Source organism: Homo sapiens, chromosome 11 (genome assembly GCF_000001405.40).
Source record: "Homo sapiens chromosome 11, GRCh38.p14 Primary Assembly".
Taxonomy (NCBI): Eukaryota; Metazoa; Chordata; class Mammalia; order Primates; family Hominidae; genus Homo; species Homo sapiens.
Window position 1 is genome coordinate 118,470,083 of NC_000011.10, and position 20,803 is coordinate 118,490,885.

A 20,803-nucleotide genomic window follows, 5' to 3' on the forward strand; every position below is an offset into this window, starting at 1 on the left:
GAGTTCTTTGGATATGTTGTGGATCAGGGAAGTTAGCAGCAGTGCTGGGACTCTTCTCTGTTCTGCTGCTTCTACTTATCTACCAAAAGAGTTTTTTAAAAAGTAGGATAGAAGAGGTTTTCAGAATTGATAAAGCCCTCTGATTGGCCAGGTTCAAGTCTACCACAATGGTAAGGAATCTTTTGATGTATTTCCGGGCAGGAGTTGTTTTGTTTGTTTGTTGTTTTTGTTTTTGTTTTTGAGACGGAGTCTCACTCTGTCACCCAGGCTCTGGGCAGGAGTTTTATTTTGTTAATTCACAACTTTTTCATGGTAGTTTCCTCTTAAGTTTTTTTTCATGACTACCAGTCTACCTTGAATGTTGTCTTGTTTTCTAAGAAACCATCTCGATATGCTTCATTATTTGAGAAATGAGACATGGTTTCTCTGCTGTCTCCTAGTTTATTACCTTTGTTGTAATTAGGATATGTTGAGAAAGGAGCTGTGAATCCTTAATCTATTAAAGGAAGTCTCATAAATTAATTGATGAGGAATGCATTTATATTTAGAAAGCTCAACAATAAAACCTTTGTTGACTTCTGTTCTGTTAGCAAGCAGTTCCATTGTAAAAATGTTCATCTCTTTTGGTGCCTATTAAGGGAAGTTTTAGTCTCAGAAGAATGTTATCAAAAGGGAAAAGAAGATTTGATAAAATAGCCTAGTCTTACTACTTTTTAAAATACAGGTTTATACAAGGTGTTTTAGAAACAGTCTTGTTTTCTTGAATGGCTTGAAAAGCAGCAAACTGAGCTTATTTATAAATTGGCAAATTCCTTTTATTTAGAATAGAACTTTGATTTAATAAGTTGTCATTTTGCTGTTGACATCAGTTAAGGTTAAATCTTTTTGCAACTTGAGACTAGCTCAAGAACCTCTAAGCAGGGGAGTAGATTTAGTGGACACATTATGTCACTTCACTGATTAGTTCACATGCCACTGAGTTCAGTGGTCTTATTCTGATGTGTCATAAATGAACATTTTTCTATTCAGTAAAACTTTCTTAGTCTACTTTGGCAAAACAGATTGAAATATGGGACTCTGAGCTGCCCAAGGAGTTGGTATGTTGATGATTGAAGAGCAGCGTATTCAAATTTGTTCAAAGCCAGAATTCTGAATTGAAAAGATGGGATGACTAACTAGAAGCATATTCTTAAATGTTAATCTTGGTGGCTAGGATATGGCGAGGAAGTTCAGATGTTTTTTCTTTACAATTCCTTTGAATTCAGAAAAAACCTTCTTGCTCATCTAAAATTGTAAGAAAATCAGTTTTGTGGATTAATTGTTCAACTGAAAACTTTTTATTATCTTTTTGTATCAAAAAAGTAATTAAATGTTCTTTCAGGTGGAATGTTATTTGCTGACTTCTTTGAGGCAAATTTTGGGTGAAAAGAAACTAAGCACAATTAAGATGTTTGATTGACTCATTAGACTCAAGTTGAACTCAGTACAAAATGGCCAGTGCTAAGTTATATTCAGCTTAGTTAAAACCTAAACTACACAGCTAAATATATGCTCTTCATTGTTTAATTTCTATACACAGTTAAAACTAGTCCTCGAAAACCTCGTGGGAGACCTAGAAGTGGCTCTGACCGAAATTCAGCTATCCTCTCAGATCCATCTGTGTTTTCCCCTCTAAATAAATCAGAGACCAAATCTGGAGATAAGATCAAGAAGAAAGATTCTAAAAGTATAGAAAAGAAGAGAGGAAGACCTCCCACCTTCCCTGGAGTAAAAATCAAAATAACACATGGAAAGGACATTTCAGAGTTACCAAAGGGAAACAAAGAAGATAGCCTGAAAAAAATTAAAAGGACACCTTCTGCTACGTTTCAGCAAGCCACAAAGATTAAAAAATTAAGAGCAGGTAAACTCTCTCCTCTCAAGTCTAAGTTTAAGACAGGGAAGCTTCAAATAGGAAGGAAGGGGGTACAAATTGTACGACGGAGAGGAAGGCCTCCATCAACAGAAAGGATAAAGACCCCTTCGGGTCTCCTCATTAATTCTGAACTGGAAAAGCCCCAGAAAGTCCGGAAAGACAAGGAAGGAACACCTCCACTTACAAAAGAAGATAAGACAGTTGTCAGACAAAGCCCTCGAAGGATTAAGCCAGTTAGGATTATTCCTTCTTCAAAAAGGACAGATGCAACCATTGCTAAGCAACTCTTACAGAGGGCAAAAAAGGGGGCTCAAAAGAAAATTGAAAAAGAAGCAGCTCAGCTGCAGGGAAGAAAGGTGAAGACACAGGTCAAAAATATTCGACAGTTCATCATGCCTGTTGTCAGTGCTATCTCCTCGCGGATCATTAAGACCCCTCGGCGGTTTATAGAGGATGAGGATTATGACCCTCCAATTAAAATTGCCCGATTAGAGTCTACACCGAATAGTAGATTCAGTGCCCCGTCCTGTGGATCTTCTGAAAAATCAAGTGCAGCTTCTCAGCACTCCTCTCAAATGTCTTCAGACTCCTCTCGATCTAGTAGCCCCAGTGTTGATACCTCCACAGACTCTCAGGCTTCTGAGGAGATTCAGGTACTTCCTGAGGAGCGGAGCGATACCCCTGAAGTTCATCCTCCACTGCCCATTTCCCAGTCCCCAGAAAATGAGAGTAATGATAGGAGAAGCAGAAGGTATTCAGTGTCGGAGAGAAGTTTTGGATCTAGAACGACGAAAAAATTATCAACTCTACAAAGTGCCCCCCAGCAGCAGACCTCCTCGTCTCCACCTCCACCTCTGCTGACTCCACCGCCACCACTGCAGCCAGCCTCCAGTATCTCTGACCACACACCTTGGCTTATGCCTCCAACAATCCCCTTAGCATCACCATTTTTGCCTGCTTCCACTGCTCCTATGCAAGGGAAGCGAAAATCTATTTTGCGAGAACCGACATTTAGGTGGACTTCTTTAAAGCATTCTAGGTCAGAGCCACAATACTTTTCCTCAGCAAAGTATGCCAAAGAAGGTCTTATTCGCAAACCAATATTTGATAATTTCCGACCCCCTCCACTAACTCCCGAGGACGTTGGCTTTGCATCTGGTTTTTCTGCATCTGGTACCGCTGCTTCAGCCCGATTGTTTTCGCCACTCCATTCTGGAACAAGGTTTGATATGCACAAAAGGAGCCCTCTTCTGAGAGCTCCAAGATTTACTCCAAGTGAGGCTCACTCTAGAATATTTGAGTCTGTAACCTTGCCTAGTAATCGAACTTCTGCTGGAACATCTTCTTCAGGAGTATCCAATAGAAAAAGGAAAAGAAAAGTGTTTAGTCCTATTCGATCTGAACCAAGATCTCCTTCTCACTCCATGAGGACAAGAAGTGGAAGGCTTAGTAGTTCTGAGCTCTCACCTCTCACCCCCCCGTCTTCTGTCTCTTCCTCGTTAAGCATTTCTGTTAGTCCTCTTGCCACTAGTGCCTTAAACCCAACTTTTACTTTTCCTTCTCATTCCCTGACTCAGTCTGGGGAATCTGCAGAGAAAAATCAGAGACCAAGGAAGCAGACTAGTGCTCCGGCAGAGCCATTTTCATCAAGTAGTCCTACTCCTCTCTTCCCTTGGTTTACCCCAGGCTCTCAGACTGAAAGAGGGAGAAATAAAGACAAGGCCCCCGAGGAGCTGTCCAAAGATCGAGATGCTGACAAGAGCGTGGAGAAGGACAAGAGTAGAGAGAGAGACCGGGAGAGAGAAAAGGAGAATAAGCGGGAGTCAAGGAAAGAGAAAAGGAAAAAGGGATCAGAAATTCAGAGTAGTTCTGCTTTGTATCCTGTGGGTAGGGTTTCCAAAGAGAAGGTTGTTGGTGAAGATGTTGCCACTTCATCTTCTGCCAAAAAAGCAACAGGGCGGAAGAAGTCTTCATCACATGATTCTGGGACTGATATTACTTCTGTGACTCTTGGGGATACAACAGCTGTCAAAACCAAAATACTTATAAAGAAAGGGAGAGGAAATCTGGAAAAAACCAACTTGGACCTCGGCCCAACTGCCCCATCCCTGGAGAAGGAGAAAACCCTCTGCCTTTCCACTCCTTCATCTAGCACTGTTAAACATTCCACTTCCTCCATAGGCTCCATGTTGGCTCAGGCAGACAAGCTTCCAATGACTGACAAGAGGGTTGCCAGCCTCCTAAAAAAGGCCAAAGCTCAGCTCTGCAAGATTGAGAAGAGTAAGAGTCTTAAACAAACCGACCAGCCCAAAGCACAGGTACTCTTTTCCACCTTGCCTATTAAAACTAACAGTTTATTGAGCCCTTTCTATGGGCAAGTTTTAGGCTAAGTGGTTCAATTACATCCAGTTATGAGAACCAAGAAAAGTATGGTGGAGGCAGTGGTATTTGCAGTAGTCCTTCAAGGACCAGTAGGATTTTGATAGGTAGAAAGTGGCAGGACATAACATTCTAAGTAGAGGGAACAGTGTGGGTAGAAATGGAAAAGTAAGAAATATATTTGAGGAATACTGGATAGCTGGATTGGCATCTGTGGAAAACTGGTGAACTAAGGCTGAATGAACTAAGGTTGGGACTATATCACAGAGGATGCTGAGTTGTTTGTACCTTATAAGTTTGATGTAATTAAACCAGGGACTTAATTGTAAAGGTACATTTTAATAGTCAAATTGTTTTACTATCCCCGATAGAATAGAAAACCGGAGGGGAGCATTCTCTTCCTCTGAGTAGTGAGGGATTGGAGCAATAGATAATATGTTTTTGCAGAATACAAATGAGAAGTACTGGCCAGGTGCGATGGCTCATGCCTGTAATCCCATCACTTTGGGAGGCCAAGGTGGGCGGATCACTTGAGGTCAGGAGTTTGAGACCAGCCTGGCCTGGCCAACACGGTGAAACCTCATCTCTACTAAAAAAAAAAAAAAAATTAGCTGGGCGTGGTGATGCATGCCTCTAGTCCCAGCTACTGGGGAGATTGAGGCACAAGAATCTCTTGAACCCCGGAGGTAGAGATGGCAGTGAGCTGAGATCCCGCCACTGCACTCCAGCCTGGGCCAATAGAGTAAGTCTCTATCTCAAAATAAATAAATAAATAAATAAACAAACAGATTAGAAGCACTTAGCCTTGAGCCATGGAACAGGAAAGCTATAGAATTCAGTTAGTTAAGATGATGCCAAATATTTTTACAAAGACCAGCATTTTTGTTTTTTTTTTATTGTTTTGTTTATTTGTTTAACAAAGTAAGCTAGTCACTGGCCTTTTCTGAGAAAAGTTGCTGATCTTTAGGGTTTTAAAAAAATCGTCATGTAGTAGATGCCTATTTATGGCAGCAAATCAGGTTAGGTTAAGATGGCCATAAACTTATATTTGTAATGTTATTCACGGGCTGGGTACGGTGGCTTACGCCTGTAATCCCAGCACTTTGGGAGGCCGAGGCAGGTGGATCACGAGGTCAGGAGATCGAGACCATCCTGGCTAACACGGTGAAACCCTGTCTCTACTAAAAATCCAAAAAATTAGCCAGACATGGTGGCATGCGCCTGTAGTCCTAGCTACTCGGGAGGCTGAGGCAGGAGAATCGCTTGAACCCGGGAGGCGGAGGTTGCAGTGAGCCGAGATCACGGCACTACACTCCAGCCTGGGTGACAGGGCGAGACTCCGTCTCTAAAAAAATAAATAAATAAAATTAATGTTATTCAACCTAGGGCCATAGTTACATTTACTAATTCTGCCAGTTGAGAATTGTAGCAGGAATGTGATGGGACTTATTTTTAACACCATGTTGGATGTTTTTGTGATAGGAGCAGCGGCTCTTTAAAATCTGAGACATTTCTTTTGGAGCCTTTTATACTTTCTCTTTTTTTTGAGACGGAATTTCGCTCTTGTTGCCCAGGCTGGAGTGCAATGGCGTGATCTTGGCTCACTGCAACGTCCGCCTCCCAGGTTCAAGCAATTCTCCTGCCTCAGCCTCCCAAGTAGCTGGGATTACGGGCATGCACCACCACGCCCAGCTAATTTTGTATTTTTAGTAGAGACAGGGTTTCTCCATGTTGGTCAGGCTGGTCTCAAACTCCCGACCTCAGGTGATCTACCCGCCTCGGCCTCCCAAAGTGCTGGGAGTTGCAGGCGTGAGCCACCACCTATACTTTCATTTATAAGTTATTTCACCCCTACTTCTCTGATGATCAAGGAAATATAAGAAATAGTTTTTGGTTAGATAAGCCGTATTTATACCACACTGAACTTTTTGATAATATAGACTGGCAGCTTGAATTTTGAGGGGAATTTAAAATAGTAGTATAATTGGGAATAGAAGCTTAGTTGTTTGTTTGTTTTTAAGATAGGGTCTCACTCTGTCACCCAGGGTGGCTCAAGTGATCCTCTTGTCCCAGCCTCCTGAGTAGCTAGAACTACAGGTGTGTACCACCACGCCCAGCCAATTTTTAAATTTTGTGTAGAGATGGGTTCTCGCTATGTTGCCCATACTGGTCTTGAACTCCTGGCCTCAAATGATCTTCCCACCTCAAGCTGTTTTTTATTTTTTGATTAGAGGCCTTTTTTTGTGCTGCCAATTAGGATACAGTAATAGTTGATTTCTGTTTTGATATGATTTATCAGCTGGGAATAATTAGAGTTGTGTGTTTTGATTCTAAATCATACTGAAATTGATTAAGTATACCTTGGCTTCGTTCAGTTATAATTTCAACATGTATGGTTGTTATTGTTTTTGGATTGCCTCATATTCAGGGTCAAGAAAGTGACTCATCAGAGACCTCTGTGCGAGGACCCCGGATTAAACATGTCTGCAGAAGAGCAGCTGTTGCCCTTGGCCGAAAACGAGCTGTGTTTCCTGATGACATGCCCACCCTGAGTGCCTTACCATGGGAAGAACGAGAAAAGATTTTGTCTTCCATGGGGAATGATGGTAGGTCAAGAAGGTCAATCTTGGAGTCGGAACAGACTTTTGATTTGTTTGTTGATTATTCTGGGGATGCCCAGTAGGCTCTTCATAGTTAGTAGGTCCTCTGAAAAACAGATGGCAAGAGGGGATTAAATACATGAGGATTTTATTAGAAGAAATGCCTGAGAAGGAAAACGGGGAGGTAGCCAGGGAAGGCTGGGAGAGCTGTCAGACTGTGTTGCCCATCTCACCCCCATGAAGGAGCAGGGGAAGGAAGGCAGAATCTTCCTAGACTGCTGTGCAGGTGAGAAAGATTTGGCAAAGCTGTCCAGGAGTCTTTGAGTAAAAGTGGACTGTCAGGGGAGTGGGAGGCACATTCTCATGGCTGTCATATAGTTCTTAAGTGCAGAGTAGCCACTCAGAACAAATTTAGAGGTTTGAAGAATCCTTAGAAGCATTTGGTTTCTATTCTCGATTTTAGATTAGACTTTTGTTTTCAGTATTTGGAATTTTGCTTTCATCAAGATGCAAGTTATTGGCTTTTTTTTTTTTTTTTTTTTTTTTTTTGAGACGGAGCCTCATTGTGTTGCCCAAGCTGGAGTACAGTGGTGCGATCTCGGCTCACTACAGCCTCCACTTCCCAGGTTCAAGCGATTCTCCTGCCTCAGCCTCCTGAGTATCTAGGATTACAGGCATGTGCCACCATGCCTGGCTAATTTTTGTATTTTTAGTAGAGAGGGGTTTTGCTATGTTGGCCAGGCTGGTCTCAAACCCCTGACCTCAGGTGATCTGCCTGGCTCAGCCTCCCAAAGTGCTAGGATTACAGGCATGAGCCACCATTCCTGGCCAAGTTATTGGCATTTTTAAACATTTAAATAATTATTTAAAATAGATTCTGAGTTCTGTATATAAATATTTTATTTTAATGTATTTCATTTTTGGAGTACCAATTAAAACCAGGTTTGAATTCAGTACTCCCTTGGAACTAATGCCACATTTCTTTAACAGACAAGTCATCAATTGCTGGCTCAGAAGATGCTGAACCTCTTGCTCCACCCATCAAACCAATTAAACCTGTCACTAGAAACAAGGCACCCCAGGAACCTCCAGTAAAGAAAGGACGTCGATCGAGGCGGTGTGGGCAGTGTCCCGGCTGCCAGGTGCCTGAGGACTGTGGTGTTTGTACTAATTGCTTAGATAAGCCCAAGTTTGGTGGTCGCAATATAAAGAAGCAGTGCTGCAAGTAAGTGGGTGTTTCACTCTGAGATGTTGACCTCTCAACCATAAAGGTTGCTTATTTATCCCTAGTTTGTTGCAGAGATACATCAGGAAACTGAATGTGGTTGTAATTGAGTTGCAAGACTTGTTACAGTTAGATTTTGTGGTGTGGGCTGTGCTTAAATAAGAAATACTCTGGGGCCATGCTGTCATTAATAGAATGTTCTGCAACAATGGAAATGTTCTATTGGAATAGTAGACAACAATAATGGAAATGTTTAGTTCAGTATGCAGCCATTAGCCACATGTGGCTATTGAGCGCTTGACATGTGATTAGTGTGACTGAGGAACCACACTGTTTATTTCGTTTAACTTTAGCCATGTGTAACTAGTGGCTACCATATCAGACTGTAGCTCTGGAGGATTTCTACTTAAAACCTGACAACTTTATGTATAATTTTTGTTGGGTCTACTGAAATTATGTTGACCCAACAAAATTATGACAATTCAGGAAACATTGGAGATACCTTGCATAAATATCTGTGCTTTCTCACTCTCTCTTAGAATATGTTCATGCATATGGAATTTTTTTTTTTAAGAGACAGGGTCTTGCTCTGTTGCCAGGCTGGAGTGCAGTGACATGATCATAGCTCACTGCCAACACTGAACTCCTAGGCTCCAGTGATCCTCCTGCCTTGGCCTCCCAAAGTACTGGGATTACAAACATGAGCCACAGTGCTTGGCCTCATATGAAATTTCTTTTTTTAAGAAGTTTTGTTTTAATTTTTATGGGTACATAGTAGGTATATATATTTATGGTATACATAAGATGTTTTGATACAGGCATGCAATGCATCATAATCATATCATGCAGAGTGGGGTATCCATTCCCTTAAGCATTTATCCTTTGTATTACAAACAATCCAATTATACTCTTTCAGTCATTTTTAAATGTACAATTAAATTATTATTTACTACAATCACCCTGTTGTGCTATCAAATGCTAAGTCTTATTCATTCTTTCTGATTATTTTTTTGTACCCATTAGCCATCCCCTAATATGGAATTTTTTATGTGGAAATTTTTATTACTCTACTTTTTCTCCTCTTTTTTAGTCAGTTTGTGGAGGTACTTTCTGCCATCTGGCATACTTTATTTAAAATAGATCGAGATAGTAGCATAAACAGAAATTTTGGTGATTAAGCATCTTGTAAACTACTGGCACAAATAATAGGTGTCAATAGATATTTGCTGAATGAGTGAGTCACATGCAAGTGATTAATATAAAGAACAGTTGGGAGAAATGCTACATTATTTACTTCAGGGGAGATAATTTCTAGGAGACAAGAAGTAGTTCTGTGCTTTGGTTTGGTCTGACCTTAAACAAGAATCTTGTCTCAGTCCTGTTAGTGGAAAGAAGTAAACTAATTCACAGATCACAAAAAAGTACATGATAGCAAGATAAAGTTGCATTAAATTTAAGAGTTAAAGTGGATTCAGTGCAATTGTAGACTTCAGATTACATTTGAATTTTATTAAATCTAAATTTAGGGGTGAAGTATATATCAAAGCCACCAGATTTAATTATAGCATTATAGTGGTAGACAAAGGAGTTGTTTGATAATTTTAGTCTGTTTTGTGTTAAGATTACTTGATGGATATTAACATCGTAAGAGAGTAGGACTGATGCGACTACAAGAAATACTGACTGATCATTTTCTGTGTGGTGCTAGTCAGTGTTGGATTACAAGAAATTTGAGTCCCATTTCAAAAATAATTTGATATTTGCTCCTTTTAGATCCTAAAGGTAGGTGAAATTGCTGATCCAGGGATTCAAAGGCTCAGATTTAATCTGAGTAATGAGCAGTCCTTTTTTCAACTATAAAAATGTGAACCTGAATACAGATTCACTGATTGTTGCAGACAAAATGAACACTTGTTTCAGTGCTTTTCTTCTAAATTTAATTTGTTTCATGGTTTATTCGTTGTTTTCCTAGGATGAGAAAATGTCAGAATCTACAATGGATGCCTTCCAAAGCCTACCTGCAGAAGCAAGCTAAAGGTAGTGTTGTTAAAAAGGTCTTCCCCCAAATGCTCCTTGCTTAAATGGTGTATAGTTGTATACACCCAGTAGAAGAGAATACTTTTTTTTTTAAAGTACAACTCTTTCTCAGGGAGTAGATTGTTGAAGCTAGGTAATAGGTACATGGGGGTTGATTGGACTATTTCCTGTATTGGGGGATATTTTTGAAATTTTCCATAATAAATTTTTTAAATTTATATAAAAATCATAGTTCATTATATTTCCTAGAGCAATAAAGTATACCTATTTCACCTGATCAACTTGGCATTAACTTTCTTTAGCCTTTCAATGCTAACTTTTAACTGCAGGAAACTGAGAATGTTGTGTCACATTTCTACGCTTCTATTTTTTAAATGTATTTTTTTAACTTATTTTTAATTTTTGTGGATACATGGCAGGTGTATTTATTTATTTGTTTATTGAGACAGAGTCTCACTCTGTCTTTCAGGCTGGGGTGCAGTAGCATGATTATGACTCACTGTAGCTTCAACCTCCCACGCTCAAGCCATCCTCCCACCTCAGCCTCCCTAGTAGCTGGGACTACAGGTGCGCACCACCACGCCCAGCTAATTTTTGTAAATTTTTTTTGCAGAGACACGATTTTGCCATGTTGCCCAGGCTGGTCTTGAACTCCTGGGCTCAAGCAATCCTCTCGCCTTGGCCTCCCAATGTGCTGGAATTACAGGCATGAGCCACCACTGCACCTGGCCAGCAGGTGTATATATTTATGGGGGTACATGAGATATGTTGATACAGGCATACAATGGGTAATAATCACATCAGGGTACATGGGATGTCCATTACCTCAAGCATTTATTCTTTGTGTTACAAACAAACTAATTATACTCTTGTAATTATTTTTAAGGGTACAGTAAATTATTGTTGACTGTAATCACCCTGTTGTACTATCAAATACTAGATCTCATTCACTTCTATCTAGCTATATTTTTGTACCCATTAACCATCCCCACTTTCCCCCTCAACCTCACTACCCTTCCCAGCCTCTCATAACTATCATTCTCTCTGTCTCTATCTCCATAAGTTCAATTGTTTTAATTTTTAGCTCCCACAAATGAGTGAGAGCATGTGATGTTTGTCTCTCTGTGTCTGGCTTATTTCACTTAACATAATGTCCTCTAGTTCCATCCATGTTGTTTCAGATGATAGGATCTCGTTCTTTTTTATGGCTGAATAGTACTCCATTGTGGATATGTACCACATTTTCTTTATCCATTCATCTGTTGATGGATGCTTAGATTACTTTCAAATCTTGGCTATCATAAATAGTGCTGCAGGAAACATGAGAGTGCAGATATCTCTTTGATATACTGATTTCCTTTATTTTGGTATATACCTAGCTGTGGGATTGCTGGATCATATGGTGGCTCTGTAATTCTATTTTAAATAAAATTATTCTCACTATAGACAGATGATGTTGTTGTGTTTTTCCCTCAGCTGTGAAAAAGAAAGAGAAAAAGTCTAAGACCAGTGAAAAGAAAGACAGCAAAGAGAGCAGTGTTGTGAAGAACGTGGTGGACTCTAGTCAGAAACCTACCCCATCAGCAAGAGAGGATCCTGCCCCAAAGAAAAGCAGTAGTGAGCCTCCTCCACGAAAGCCCGTCGAGGAAAAGAGTGAAGAAGGGAATGTCTCGGCCCCTGGGCCTGAATCCAAACAGGCCACCACTCCAGCTTCCAGGAAGTCAAGCAAGCAGGTCTCCCAGCCAGCACTGGTCATCCCGCCTCAGCCACCTACTACAGGACCGCCAAGAAAAGAAGTTCCCAAAACCACTCCTAGTGAGCCCAAGAAAAAGCAGCCTCCACCACCAGAATCAGGTGAGTGAGGAGGGCAAGAAGGAATTGCTGAACCACAAGTACTAACAAAAAAGCACTGATGTCTCAAACAGCATTTGAAAGCAGGAAATGTATGATTTGAAGTCTTCAGTTCAAGAAAATCAGCTCTCTTTCTAACTATTATGTTTAATAATAAAGAAACAGAAACAAAAAAAACAGTTAAATTGGAGGTATTGTTTTAATTTCCTGTTCGAAGCCTAGAGTTTAAATAGTTTTTTTTTTTTTTTTCTAATGGCCCTTTCTTCACAGGTCAGTCAGTACTAAAGTAGTCGTTGCCAGCATCTGACTGCAATTTATTCTGAATTTTTTAGGTCCAGAGCAGAGCAAACAGAAAAAAGTGGCTCCCCGCCCAAGTATCCCTGTAAAACAAAAACCAAAAGAAAAGGTGAGGAGAGATTTGTTTCTCTGCCATTTCTCAGGGATGTATTCTATTTTGTAGGGAAAAGCCTTATCCTTGACTTCTATGTAGATGGCAGTGGAATTTCTTAAAATTAAGAAACTTCAAGTTTAGGCTTTTAGCTGGGCACGGTGGCTCACGCTGGTAATCCCAACACTTAGTGAGGCTGAGGTGGGAGGATTGCTTGAGGCCAGCAGTTCAAGACCAGCCTGGGCAACATAGCAAGACCCTGTCTTTATTTAAACAAAAAAAAAAAAAAGAAGAAGAAGAAGAAGTTAGCCAGGCATGGTGGCAGTTGCGTGTAGTCCCAGGTACTCAGGAGGCTGAGATAGAAGGATTGTCTTGAGCCCAGGAATTCAAGGCTGTAGTGAGCTATGATTGTACCACTGCAGTCCAGCCTGGGTGACAAAGCAAAACACTGTCTCCAAAAAAAATTTAGGCTTGGCAAGGCGCAGCGGCTCACGCCTGTGATCCCAGCACTTTGGGAAGCCGAAGCAGGCAGATCACTTGAGGTCAGGAGTTGGAGACCAGCCTGGCCAACATGGTGAAACCCTGTCTCTACTGAAAATACAAAAATTAGCCGGTTGTGGTAGTGGGTGCTTGTAATCCTAGCTACTTGGGAGGCTGAGGCAGGGGAATTGCCTGAACCTGCGAGGCGGAGGCTGCAGTGAGCCGAGATTGCATCATTGCACTCTAGCCTGGACAACAGAGCTAGACTCCATCCCAAAAAAAAAAAAAAAAGTAGCCGGGCACGGTGGCTCACGCCTGTAATCCCAGCACTTTGGGAGGCCGAGGCGGGCGGATCATGAGGGCAGGAGATCGAGACCATCCTGGCTAACACGGTGAAACCCTGTCTCTACTAAAAATACAAAAAAATTAGCCCGGCGAGGTGGCGGGCGCCTGTAGTCCCAGCTACTCAGGAGAGTGAGGCAGGAGAATGGCGTGAACCCGGGGGGCGGAGCCTGCAGTGAGCCGAGATCGCGCCACTGCACTCCAGCTTGGGTGACACCGAGACTCCGTCTCAAAAAAAAATAAAAAGTTTAGGCTTTAGCCTGTTTCTTTTTTGGTTTCTTCCTTGTTGCTTTTCCCTTCTTTGTGGCCCCACATGTTCTAGCCTAGGAATCTGCTTATTCTAAAGGCCATTTGGCGTAATTATTTTTTGACCCCAACATCCTTTAGCAATTATTTGTCTGTAAAAATCACCCTTCCCTGTATTCACTATTTTTATTTATTATGGATAAAGAGATAGTGTGGTGGCTCACATCTATAATCCCAGCACTTTGGGGGGCCAAGGCGGGAGGATCACTTGAGGGCAGGAGCTGGAGACCAGCCTGGGCAGCACAGTGACACACAGTTGCTATAAAAAATTTAAAAATCAACTAGGCATGGTGGCATGCACCTGTAGTCCCAGCTACTCTTGAGAAGCTGAGGCAGGAGGATCACGAGCCCACAAGGTCTAGGCTGCAGTGAGCTGTGACTGTGCCACTGTATTGCAGCCTAGGCAACAAAGCAAGACCCAGTCTCTTTTAAAAAAAAATTCAAAGATTATTTGTTTATGTTGGAAACATGTTTTTTAGATCTATTAATAAAATTTGTCATTTGCATTATTATCTGTTGCAAATGTGAAGGCAAATAGGGTGTGATTTTGTTCTATATTCATCTTTTGTCTCCTTAGGAAAAACCACCTCCGGTCAATAAGCAGGAGAATGCAGGCACTTTGAACATCCTCAGCACTCTCTCCAATGGCAATAGTTCTAAGCAAAAAATTCCAGCAGATGGAGTCCACAGGATCAGAGTGGACTTTAAGGTAAAGGTGTTCAGTGATCATAAAGTATATTGAGTGTCAAAGACTTTAAATAAAGAAAATGCTACTACCAAAGGTGTTGAAAGAGGAAATCAGCACCAACTGGGGGAATGAATAAGAACTCCCATTAGCAGGTGGGTTTAGCGCTGGGAGAGCTTTGGTCAGTGTTGTTAGGTCACTGTTTGTGAACTGACTGCAGAACATACATAATGAAACATTCCTATCCATCCTGAGCAGTATCAGAGGAAGTAATTCCTTCACATGGAAAGTATCAAACCATGATGATTCCTTGAGTCAGCAAAACTGTAAGAGAAATTCAATCCCAGTGTATTTTCGCAATATATTCAATATGAATTGAACAACTAGGTGAGCCTTTTAATAGTCCGTGTCTGAGATTAAAACTTTTTAAAGCAGCAGTTATTTTTGGACTCATTGAAATGAAATACTCTGACATTGTGATGTCACACTAATTTTATGCTTTTCATCCTTATTTTCCATCCAAAGTTGTGTAATTGTAAAACTTTCCTAAGTGACCTTTCTCTCTCCACAGGAGGATTGTGAAGCAGAAAATGTGTGGGAGATGGGAGGCTTAGGAATCTTGACTTCTGTTCCTATAACACCCAGGGTGGTTTGCTTTCTCTGTGCCAGTAGTGGGCATGTAGAGGTAAGGCATCCTGCTTCTTTGTACCCCAGGAAGTACATAAATTATTTTTCTGTGGATGAAATTACTATAGTCTGTTTTGTTGGTATTTAGCAGGTACTATTCCCTGTTTAAACCAGCTAAAGAAATGTTTTGAAGTATTTTAGAGATTTTAGGAAGGAATCTGCTATTAGAGTAGCAAAGTTATTGAGAGTGAAAAGATCAATAATCCCATCTCTCTTAAATTCAGTCTTTATTAGAGTTCTGATCTTTCTGTTAGATGTCTAAATAAGAGAAAAAATTATACAGTGGTCTATTAAAAGGGATGCTATTGATGGTTATTTTATATTGTATATCAAAGCCTCTTCATCTATAAGGAGCTCTTACCAATTAATAAGAAAAAGGAATGACATCCAGAAAAAAAAATAGGCAAAAGACAGAAATAGATAATTCACAAAATTAGAAATAAATACATGTTGGGTGGCAGGGGGAGGTGAAGGGAGGGTGTCTGTTTTTTAGCCCTCTAGTGACCAAAAACTGGAAATTAAAGCATGATAAAAAAAGAATCCTGAATAAATGGGGACTTTCTGTTGGTGGAAAGAAATATAGATTAGTTACAATCTTTCTTTCTGAGGGAATTATTTGGAAATATATATCTATCTTTAAAATAGGTATATCCTCTAACATAGCAATTGCACTTCAAACACTTATGGATATAATTAGATAAATTGGCAAATCTGTAGATATAAAGAAGTGTTCATTTCAATATTGCTCATAATAATAAAAAACTGGAAACAACCCGAAAGTCCATCTATAGGGAGCATGGGTTAAAATAAGCATAGGGCATATAGCTGGGCACGGTGGCTCACGCCTGTAATCCCAGCACTTTGGGAGGCCAAGGCAGGCGGATCACAAGGTCAGGAGATCCAGACCATCCTGGCTAACACAGTGAAACCCCGTCTCTATTAAAAATACAAAAAAATTAGCCGGGTGTGGTGGCGGGCGCCTGTAGTCCCAGCTACTCGAGAGGCTGAGGCAGGAGAACGGCATGAACCCGGGAGGTGGAGCTTGCAGTGAGCCGAGATCGCCCCACTGCACTCCCGCCTGGGCGACAGAGCAAGACTCCGTCTCAAAAAAAAATAAAAGTGTAGGGCATATATAATGGCAAATATGAAGTCCTAAAGATAATATATATTAATATTATTAGGTTGGTGCAAAAGTAATTGCAGTAATAACATGGAAAGATGTCCATGACATATCACTGAGTGAAAAGAGCAGGTTACAAGATAATATATAAAGCACAATCCCATCTTAGTTTGGAAAAGTGTTTTTAAAGTATATATCTAGAAAACAATCTGGAAGGATTCACACCAAAATATTAAGAGTGTGGTTGGATTATGGGTGACCTTTATTTGTTTCTCTGGTTTTTTTTTTTTAATCTTTCTGAGTTTTTTGCAGTATGTACCACCTTTACAATGAGGAAGGAAAAAGTAGCACAATTTTAAATAGGAAGCAGTAGTTTGTCATTTATAAGGGACATATCCTACATCCTTTACAGTTCTTAAATTCCTGGCAGATACCTCTTTGGCTTATTACTTACCACATAAGATATGTATTCAAAGGTGGTAAAGAAAATCCACGTCGGGTGCAGTGGCTCACGCCTGTAATCCCAGTACTTTGGGAGGCTGACGCAGGAGGACCGCTTGAGCTCAGGAGTTCAAGACCAGCCTGAGCACCATAGTGAGACCTCATCTCTACTAAAAAAAAAATAAAATACCAGGCATGGTAGCATGTGCCTGTAGTCCCAGCTACTCTAGTCCCAGCTACTTGGGAGGCTGAGGTGAGAGGATCACTTGAGCCCAGGAGATCGAGGCTGCAGTGAGCCATTATCACGCCACTGCACTCCAGCCTGGGCAACTAAGCAAGACCCTGTCTCAAAAAAATTTTTAAAAATTTAAAAAATAAGAAAATCCAAGCTAGGTTGAAATCTGAATGTTGAGCAGTCAGTGAGACACAAACTAGCTAAGAAAGTCAACCCTGCCCACTTGCCATTTGAAGTTATTACTAGCAAAATTACAAATTATTGCCTACTATTCATTTACTAAGCAAATATTCTCTTAGTCCCTATTACGAACAACTTATTGTTCTAAGTGCAGAAGTTCAGATATCATTGAGACTGAGAATATTCAGTCTACAAGTGCCAGGGGTCTACTGTATCCTCTTTTCCGTCTTAATACAGTGCTTTGCACCCATATATATGCCACCCACAGGAATAACTTTTTTTATAGCACCAGTCCTTCAACTTCTGGGATTAAACAGATTTTTTTTCAGGGTATAATTGTTCTGATCTAAATTCTTTATAGTTGTACATAGCAATCTCACAGGGTTCCTAAAATATAAATTAGAGAATAGCATGCTGCCTGCACTGCACTCCTAAAGCATGACCAGTGCTTGATAAACTCTCCTCCATGCGAATTTTTTAAACTTTTTATGTTGACATGATTTCAGACTTACAAAAAAACTATGAGTTGTACAGAGAATTCTAAGTACCCCTCACCCAAATTCCCTAAGTGTTAATATGTTTCTCTGTGTGTATATATTTTACAAAATAACAAATAAAATACATATACACATTTTACCTGTAGATACACATGTATCTAAAAATTTGAGAACAAGTTGCAGACATAAACCATTTTACCTCTAAATATTTTAGTGTATATTTTTAAAAATCAAGGACGTTCTCGTATTTAACCATGGTATAATTACCAAATCAGGAAATTAACACACTGGTACATTACTATTATCTGATCTATAGGCCTTATTTAGGTTTGACCAATTGTCCCAATAATTCCTTTATGGCAAAAGAAAATTCTGGATTATCCTAGTTAGTATTTTTGAAAATCCTATATCAATATGAAAATAACTTATTTCTAAAATTAGAAATGGAGGCTGGGCGTGGTGGCTCACGCCTATAATCCCAGCACTTTGGGAGGCCGAGGCAGGCAGATCACAAGGTCAGGAGATTGAGACCATCCTCGCTAACACAGTGAAACCCCATCTCTACTAAAAATACAAAAAATTAGCCAGGTGTGGTGGCACGCGCCTGTGATCCCAGCTACTCAGGAGACTGAGGCTGGAGAATCGCTTGAACCCAGGAGGCGGAGGTTGCAGTGAGTCGAGATCGCACCACTGCACCCCAGCCTGGGCGACAGCGAGACTCCGTCTCAAAAAAATAAATAAATAAAAATTAAAACAATTAAAAAAATAAAATTACAAATGGAAAGGACAAACCAGACCTTACAACTGTTTCGTATATTACAGAAAACGTTTAAACCCTCCCTATTTCCCCCACCCCACTCCTTTATATTCCCATAGCTCTTTGTTTATACCACTCTTAGGTCACTTAGCATGTTCTGTTAAATCTTGTATTATATTTATTTTGTTACTTTCTATTTCCACTGGTATTACCACTTTAGTACTCTGAATCTCCCGCAGTGTCCAATACTGTACTTTTTTACATAGTCATTGCTTAATGAATATGTATTGAATTAAATATATGCCAGTGGACTACTAAAACCCAAAGTATATAAGAAGGGTATGGTTGATTATGTTTTTCTACATATTATTTGACATACTTCTATCTTCCCATGTTCTTACTATAGTTTGTGTATTGCCAAGTCTGTTGTGAGCCCTTCCACAAGTTTTGTTTAGAGGAGAACGAGCGCCCTCTGGAGGACCAGCTGGAAAATTGGTGTTGTCGTCGTTGCAAATTCTGTCACGTTTGTGGAAGGCAACATCAGGCTACAAAGGTACAAAACTTGGTAATAGAACTACAGCTGGGCCTCTGTATCAGTGGGTTCTGTATCCCTGGACTCAACCAACCTTGGATTGAATGTATCTGGGAAAAAATGAGTAGTTGCCTCTGTACTCTATGTGAACAGACTTTTTCTTGTCATTATTTCCTAAACAATACAGTATAACAACTATTTACATTGTATTAGGTATGATAAGTAATCTAGAGATAATTTAAAGTATATGGTGGGCGGATCACTTGAAGCCAGGAGTTCGAGACCAGCCTGAGCCAACATGGTGAAACCCCATCTCTACTAAAAATACAAAAAATTAGCCAGGTGTGGTGGTGGGCACCTGTAGTCCCAGCTACTTGGGAGGCTGAGGGAGGAAAATCGCTTGAACTTTGGAGGCAGAGGTTGCAGTGAGCCACTCCAGCCTGTGGTGCAGTCTGTCACTCCAGCCTGGGTGACACAGTGAGACTCCATCTCAAAAAAAAAAAAAAAAAAAAACTATATGGGAGGATGTGCATTTTGTTATATGCAAATGCTGCACCATTTTGTCTAGGGACTTGGGCATCCATGGACTTTGGTATCCTCTGGGGGTCCTGGAACCAATCCCCCATGGAAACCAAGGATGACTGTGCTTAGAGTATTGCTTTCTTTCTTGATTTGTATTTCTGTCTTCCAGTTAAGATTTTGTATCTATATTATTTCTCTTTTTACTTAGTCTGTCTTTAGCATTTAATTGGGTGTAATCAGTTGCCTATTTTGTGTTTTAATTTTGGGACTATAGCAGAAAACATGATGTTGAATAAAATTCCAAAAATAAGTCAAATCTACCTAATATGAATACTCATCACTGAGTGCCTTTGGCAGGAAATAAATCTATCTCAATGCTTTAATTGGGAGTAAATAATGTATGAGGAAATTTAAACTCATAATTGTGTGCTGTACTTACTTGCCAGTAAATGTGAAATGGGGTACTAAGTAATAGGTGTTGGGTGAAGGTAATATGATGCTTATCTTTTTGCCATTATATTTTCTTACAGCAGCTGCTGGAGTGTAATAAGTGCCGAAACAGCTATCACCCTGAGTGCCTGGGACCAAACTACCCCACCAAACCCACAAAGAAGAAGAAAGTCTGGGTGAGTTATACACATGATGCTCTTTTATAGAGAACCACCATGTGACTATTGGACTTATGTAACTTGTATTACAAATATCTATGCTTGAGGATGTCAGTATGACAATCTTTTTGCCTCATTACTAGGAAATCATCTCAGCAGAGAAATTAAATCTATAAATGGATGCATTTAAGATCTTTTTAGTTAAGTAAAGATATTAAAAACAAGAAATTCCTATTGAATTTCTTTTCTTCTTTTCTAGATCTGTACCAAGTGTGTTCGCTGTAAGAGCTGTGGATCCACAACTCCAGGCAAAGGGTGGGATGCACAGTGGTCTCATGATTTCTCACTGTGTCATGATTGCGCCAAGCTCTTTGCTAAAGGTACCCAAAAAAGCCAGTTTTGCCAGCTTTCGGAGGTTGTACTTGGTGTTCTGGAGGTGAACTAGACTCTAGTGAAATGAAATAAAAAGTCTCACACATTATGTCAAGGATACCATTTAGACACATTTCCTAAGTTCCTGTTTAGAACTTAGCAACTAGAAATGTCTTGTTAGTTTATACGGGAAGTGTTAAGGGGACTTTTCATTATAACTAACCACAAAGAAATCCTCTAAGCTAGTATTTCCCAAAGTGTGATATATATATTATATATTTGATTATTTCAGACATTATTTTAGTTGCTACCCAAACATTTTCTTTCAGTAGTTATATTAGAAAAAAATATTAATATAACTAATACATTAAACCTGTTATATTACTGACTTAGGATAATCATATAAAGTTCACTGTTTTAAGTAAGATAAGCAGATCAGTTTGAAGAAGTTCATTAAGTAAAAAATAATATAGGAGATCTCTGTATATAAAGAAAATTTATGAAGGTTATACAGAGTACTGAATCTTAGGAAGTGCTCCTCTAAGCTCTAATGTAAATGCCCTAGAAATAAGGAAAAAGCTTACATGTACTGTTTCTGACTTCCATATTGCCACTTCTTTTAAATATTTAAATATTTCTTACAA

The 20,803-nt window shown here is 40.0% G+C and overlaps 1 protein-coding gene across 9 annotated transcripts in view, besides 1 other annotated feature; it reads left to right on the forward strand.

Annotated features, from left to right (window-relative positions):
* Positions 1–20,803, forward strand: part of KMT2A (lysine methyltransferase 2A) — a 90,341-nt gene that overhangs the window by 33,591 nt on the left and 35,947 nt on the right. For 4 of the 9 annotated variants that reach the window (XM_011542829.3, NM_001412597.1, NM_001197104.2 and 1 more), the window contains 11 exons: positions 1,580–4,233; positions 6,723–6,900; positions 7,885–8,119; positions 10,092–10,156; positions 11,633–12,010; positions 12,340–12,413; positions 14,101–14,232; positions 14,780–14,893; positions 18,532–18,678; positions 19,710–19,805; positions 20,047–20,167. In XM_011542829.3, coding sequence (XP_011541131.1) covers positions 1,580–4,233; positions 6,723–6,900; positions 7,885–8,119; positions 10,092–10,156; positions 11,633–12,010; positions 12,340–12,413; positions 14,101–14,232; positions 14,780–14,893; positions 18,532–18,678; positions 19,710–19,805; positions 20,047–20,167 — 4,194 coding nt within the window. The remainder of the gene's footprint in view (positions 1–1,579; positions 4,234–6,722; positions 6,901–7,884; positions 8,120–10,091; positions 10,157–11,632; positions 12,011–12,339; positions 12,414–14,100; positions 14,233–14,779; positions 14,894–18,531; positions 18,679–19,709; positions 19,806–20,046; positions 20,168–20,803) is intronic. The other 5 variants (XM_011542833.3, XM_006718839.4, XM_047426964.1 and 2 more) reach the window with 2 other exon arrangements.
* Positions 17,907–18,135: a silencer, noted in NCBI's record as "fragment chr11:118358704-118358932 (GRCh37/hg19 assembly coordinates)". NCBI's record gives its function as "represses an EF-1alpha promoter that drives an FKBP-Casp9 reporter gene in an ReSE screen in K562 erythroleukemia cells {active_cell/tissue: K562}" and the evidence as "EXISTENCE:reporter gene assay evidence [ECO:0000049][PMID:32094911]".